The sequence below is a fragment of the Homo sapiens genome, chromosome 13 (genome assembly GCF_000001405.40).
Source record: "Homo sapiens chromosome 13, GRCh38.p14 Primary Assembly".
Lineage (NCBI taxonomy): Eukaryota > Metazoa > Chordata > Mammalia > Primates > Hominidae > Homo > Homo sapiens.
The window spans coordinates 80566495-80573182 of NC_000013.11; the positions used below are offsets into that span (position 1 = coordinate 80566495).

Consider the following 6688-nt stretch of genomic DNA (forward strand, 5'->3'; position numbering starts at 1 on the left):
CAATTAAAGGAGAGAAAAATGAGCTCCTCTTCCAGACTTGCCCATAAGGACCTTCCATGAGGCACTCCTTTTGCCTTTTTCCTCTTCTGGATGGTCGGATTAGAGAAAACCCCTGGGAGGACCGTAGAAGGCTTAGAAGCTGGGCTCCTGACTGATTATGTGGGGGAGATTCTCCTGTTGAACTGCACTTGGACCATCTGCATTGGAGAGCAAAATTAAAAGAGTAAAATTAAATTCTAATTATGATAATCCTTTCGATAGTAGCAGTTATTACAGCAACTTATATTACTCTAGTATATTTTCTCAGCTATGTCTTGACTTGTTACAAATAATAGAATCCAAAGATATAATATTTTACTGTTGGTAGCTGTTACACAATATTTTAGCCTTAACATACCACAGTACCCTTTAATTTAACATATAGGTAGTGTCACTTCAATTATCAGAAACCTGTATTTATAGATTTAAAAAATTATTTCTTAATAAAATATCAACTTTTAGCCCTTTTCACATTCTGTTTAATTTTATATAATCCTTAATTGATATCTCAAAGCTCTTGCACACCTCTGTACTACACAAAATTAAAGAACTGCCATTTCTTTTCACCCAGGAAATAAAACTCTCTAAATCTTGAACTCTCAGAAAAGGGGTCCCAGAATGATAATGTAACACTATTCTCCTAACTATACTCCAAATCTTTTGGGTGGTTTGTGTTTCCTCAGAATCAAACCCTGAGAAAAATATTCAAGTTCAAGTTACTTATTTGACAGTTAATTTCAGAAAATGCCAGTAGGGAATGGGAAAGTGTAGAAGAAAAGGAAAGGCAGCCAATAACAAATTCATTAGCAAGCAGGTTGCTACTGAGAATAGCTAGATTTTGTTCTCGCAGAGGAAATCTGGCTGTGCTTCAAAAATACCCCCAAGGTGGGGAGAGCAAGCTGGGACGTTCACACAGCAAACTCCCTTAAGTCATTGGTTGAGGGATGTTCTCAAGGGGTGGTAATTCTCAGACATTTCTAGGATTCAGTGGCTTTGGTAGCCAGAGAAAAACACATACGCAACAAAATGCAGGTGTAGCCAGTTGGAAATCCAGAGAACAGGCATTAAAGTAAGTGTGAGGGGTTTGAGTGGGGCAGCAACAGTGATAATATCCCACTTCAAAATCTTACTCCAAGAACAGCAAGTATATGAATGGAAACTCGAAAATGGTGAAGTTTAGCCACCATGTTATTTTACAATGATATGTACACAAGTCTTTTTTAGCCTAATTTTAGTATTTTTACTACCATAAGATCATAATTTTTATTTCTTCTGTGTGTCTATTTCTTGTTTCTTATCCTTGTGATACATACTACCTTATTTGGTCTCCTGGGCATCTAGTTTTCTATTAAAACAAAAACAAACAAAACATCTTTTCATTTTGTTTGGTGATTTTATATCAGTTCATTTACCATCATCTTGATTTGGGCAGTTACATTAATCTGATTTTCTGAAAAGAATGATGGAGTGTACATTTAGATCCTAAAGAGGAGGAAGGGAACATAGAAATTATGTTGTGCCTCCGATTCCTCTGGTCAGTGCAGATATTGCAAATGGATTACATGATTGCCTTCAAGACTCACTTCACCCTGAGCTTCAAGCACACTTTTGTCAGTTTTGCAAACATTCACATTCTATTGCCCATAGTTTGTATTTCTTTACAATTAAAACCATAATTTTTAATCAGTTCAATAGCCTACCTTCTCTTCATCCATCTCTGCGCTACTAAAGGCTTTTTCAGAAATTCATACACCTGGCAGATGAGCATTTTTACCATTTACTTCCCCAAACCTCACTTGGATGCCATAATGGTTTTGGGGAATGCTTGGGTACCTCCCTAGTGAGCACTGTTGTTAATTCTCCACAGAGACACACAGTTTTTTATTAATTATAACCTTTTTATTGCAAATGTCAGAAAAGCAACTTGAATCCGCTTAAGCAAAAATATGTAAAGGGAATATATTAAAATTTTTCTGGGATGTCTCGTGAATCGAAGGATGGGAAGAGGACTGATCCTCAGTAACAACTGGAACCAGGAGACTAAATTCCACCTTCCTTCATTTTGTATTTATTATTTTCATTAGGAATCTATTTCAAACTTTAGTTTTTTCTGTGCAGATCACGTCTGCTCTGTGTTCCATATGGGAAGGAGCACATGGGAAACACAATGGAAGGACAGTAAGACCTGGCACTAGGGTTTCCATCCTGAAATCTGGGTTACTAGAGAGAGACTGACTTTTACAGCACAGGTTCAGAAATTCTAGTGAACACTCTCATTGGTTACACTTGAGTCCAGTGCTCAGTTCTGTGCTAATCAACTGTGGCCAAGCAGGCTATTTAGGACAATAGTTGGGCAGTTCCAACAGAATGATTTGGACGAAACAAGTTGTATCAAGTGGCACGGAATGGACAGTTAGTGGAATTTTGAGAGTGATGGACAATACTACCATAATTAATTGAGGCATTACCCTTTTCTACTTTCTTAAAATTATAATCTAACCATCTGTCCATTTTTCTCAAAAAAATGCCCTTATCTATTTCATGAAAATGAATGAAAATGTGCCTACAGCTGCATTTATTATTTCTCTTTCCACTCCATTTTTTTTGTAATAAAATAATTGGACTTAATTCCTAAGCTGAATTTCTAGGCCCTTATTATTTAGAGTCTGCCATATTATTTTTGAACTGGTGTCTACAACTCTCAGCTTTATTGTCCTTGTTTCAACCTACAACCTACTGCTGGATTAACCTTCTGAATTAACAGTTATCTCCATAGCACTGTTTTATGAAGACACCTTCTTGGGGTCATTATTCCAATTAAGTATGGCAAAAAAAATCTGCTTGGCATTTAGGGCTCTCTAGTCCAAAATGTACTACAACCTATTTCCCAAGCTCTTATTTTTCCCCCATATGTGAGTGTCATACTTTAGATGCTTCCATTTCTTCCTTTAAGAGACCCTGAGTTTTCCTAGTTTGGTACCTTTCTCCTTCTGTTGCCCATATCTGTAATTCCATTTTTACATTTTGAAATCTCCTTCACCTTTCAAGACTCATAAATAACCAGGTCTTTGCAAATTTTTTTCTTCATCTCTCTATTGAAATAATTTCATCTTTGTACAAAGATATAGTCTGTCTCATATTGTGATCACTGCGGTATTTATGCTAACCCATCTATGAATGTAATTTTTTAACCAGACATTACATAGAACCCTCTTTATCTTAAAAAATTACACTTACTTGGAATAGAGTTACATAGCCTTTTTTTCTTTTCTTTTCTCTTTTGAGACGGTCTCACTCTGTTGCCCAGGCTGGAGTGTAGTGGCACAATCACAGCTCACTGCAACCTCCGCCTCACAGGTTCAAGCAATTCTCGTGCCTCAGCCTCCCAAGTAGCTGGGATTACAGGCATGTGCCACCACTCCTGGCTAACTGGCCTCAAGCAGTCCCCCCCTCGGCCTCCCAAAGTGCTGGGATTACAGGTGTGAGCCCCTGCACCCAGCGAGTTACATAGGCTTTATGTAATCCAATGGGAAACAGTTTTTCAAAATTTCTCCTGTAGAATCCACTTGCAAACAATATTTGCCACAAACGGGGGCTTTATTAAAGATCACACATCAGCTTTAGTTAGGGGTTTTATGGGAAATGCACACTGCTTTTGTGGACTCCAGAGGTAGCAATGTTACCGTAGAACCTTTTGTCTATCTTGTGAACTCTTCACTTCAACATCATTTCTTCTCTGCTTCTTTTGTTCTTTTACAGGCACAAAACAGCAACACCACCTACCCCTCCCATTGCCTTCTTTAGAGTAAGTTCTCTGTTCTGAAGCCTTGGCACAGGCTGACATCCTTCTTACATATTTTACTGAATTGCAGGTAGGAGCTTGGTCTTTCTCATCCTTGTATCTTCTTCAGCTTCAGCAATTGTACTTCATCTACACTTGAATTGCCAAGTGGCATGGAGCTATCATTGCCCCAACACATATGAGTAATACACAAAACTAGAGAAACAAAACTAGAGAACTATGGAGCACATTAAACTTTTAGCTCTGCGTTTTATACTTGTATGTATTCTAGCAATTATGGTCGTACCCCTCTATGAATTTACACCAGCGTGTTCTCTTCTCTGTGAGGTAGAGAAAAGTGAAAGAGAATTAGATGTGATATAAATTAGATCAATAGCTTGTATGGAGAAACATATTAGGGGAATACATTTATATTCATAAGTAATTTTATTATCTCATTTTCTGGTTTCACATACCTATAGTTAAATGTCTTCACTGTGAAGACAATATCCGTGTCTTGAAATAATTTTCATGAATTCTCTTATTTCCCAAGTGTGAGAAGAATTAATTCTTCATGATGTCAAAATTAGAAAATGGTTCCAATGGTTAGGATTACAAAACTCTTCCATGTCCTAATTAAGAACATTGTTCTCTTATGACTGAATTAATTTCACCATGAATGCAGCATTAAGATTAATCTAGTGGAGGGAATCTTAAGTTTCTAATAATTTAATATTACTTACATTTTACCCATAGAACACTATTTAAAATAAAATCATTTGAAAAACATAGAAGTTGACAAAATATTAACCTAAAGCATTAAATGTAGAATTTCCTCCTTTATCACTCCAAATTTCAATGGATTACATGAAATAAGTTGTTGGAAAAAATTTATTAAATAGTATCCCCCTGAATATACTAAATATACGTATTTTACTAGACAAGTTTGAATTAGAGAGACAAAGCTCCTAGGAATGATAATGACTAGGGGATTTACTATAGGGATTCCAACTTACACATTTGTAGGAGTTGGTTAAACTATATAAACCTGCTTTTTTCTACATTAGACACTGAGACTGAAGTCAGGAAGGCAGGCCATTGGGAAGGAAAGATGGTGAAGTGGGGAAGGAACAGGACACATTGGAGCACATAAGAGTGAGCTGGAACACATGCAGGTCTCTTGTCAGCTCCAGCTCCCAACATCAGTGCTATTTCTGGCTAGATGTGAAACTGGTGCCCTTTCCTGTGAAGCTAACCACAGCACTGGCCCAAGAGTCACAGAAGATAAAGGAAGAGACCCAAGAGGAGTTGGACGAGCAAGTCCTGCTGCTGCTGCAGACGCTGCACACACTGGTCTAGGATTTTGAGAAACTGAAGGAGGAGATCCAGCTGTTGCTGGAGTGACTGTCAGCTGGCCCTGCTCCACTTAGACAAGGTGAGCCAGCCCATCAGAAACAATGTGCCTGATTTGCAATGGCACCCGATGTCTTGCATTGTAATTGCATTGACCTTCCCAGTATAAAAGGATATGACTGTTGCTGCTTCTCTTCCACTTTTCAAATGTCATCTAAAGTATCTCTTGCAGCCCACAGGAATTTGGAATTATGCTAAAAAGTGGATTCTGAGAATCATGTTTGTAACTTAAATGAGCTTACACAGTGCATATCACCTTGCATATGTCAAAATAAAAAATGAAATAAAAATCGATACAATCTCTTCTTCTCCCTGGAGTAAAGACAGTATCTTTTTTCTGAATACTATGTGTTCATCAGTCTTCTCATCACAGCTTCAGTGCCTGTATCAGATAACATCTTAGGAAGTCTCATCCAGGCTACCCTTCCTCCAGACACACTGGATATGATCTTAATTGCTAGAATATTAAGAGAAGATAATAAGATAAGAAGGGAAGCAGCAACCATATGATGTGATAATTGTGAGTCTGGGACCTGGAAGCTTTACAAAAGATATTGGGTAATAAAGACTTGGAGACTTACATGTTTAACTTCCTTATCCAGAGTGATCTGATGGGCATATTTATTATGATGATGGTAAAGATATTAAGTTCAAATTCAACCCCCATCTGAGAGGACTGGAAGACTGTTTAAGTTGTCAGGGTAGCCTGACAATGAACCAGGGCTGCATACAAACCATTAGTGAAAACTGCAAAGATACATGTAACACACAGGCAAATATACAAAGAGAACCTTGTATGGAGTGTAAAAGAAGCATACGCCTACAAACTGCTGGAGGCTTTGAAAGCAATTTACCGAGAAAGCTTTTTACAGTGGCCCACTTTGGAGCCATCGATAATTAACTAAACAAATATTTCAGAGTGTATCCAACTGGTTTCAGCCAATTTCCTTAGGGAGTTGTGATACTTTAAATTCCATATAATGATACTGTTGGATCAGTGTCTTCAGCTGCAGTATGTAAGCACACAGGACTTGATTCATGATCATATGGGTAATAATTTGAGATCAATATTTTAAATAATGTAATAGAAAACCAGCAAGGAATCTCTCACAAGTAATAAATAGCGCTTGAGCCTTAGTTGTGGGTATATGGAGTCATTATGAATTCTGCCAAGTATATAGATTTATGCTTATACAAATTACTGAGTGATAAAAGACAACATTTCTCATAATAGCAATATGGTTTCATAACCTATCCAAGAGCATAGGTTTCTTCATGTAGGACACCAAGAAACCAAAGCATTATTCTAACCACTTATTCATAATAGGTCTGACTTTAGCAGCTGATATTTCTGCCTTGCAGAGACTCTGTTTTTCCCAGTCTTGAGATGAGATGTGAAGCTTGTCTTATTCACACTGCGTGGCATATGGAAAGAAGCTCAGGCTTTAGAGGCAG

General features: G+C 37.5%; 1 long non-coding RNA gene across 1 annotated transcript; it reads left to right on the top strand.

Moving 5' to 3' along the window:
• Nucleotides 3505-5542, top strand: LOC124903240 (uncharacterized). The gene is made up of 2 exons (XR_007063926.1): nt 3505-3911; nt 5043-5542. It is a non-coding gene; the product is annotated as an uncharacterized LOC124903240 (long non-coding RNA).
• The last annotated feature ends 1146 nt before the right edge of the window (nt 5543-6688 follow it).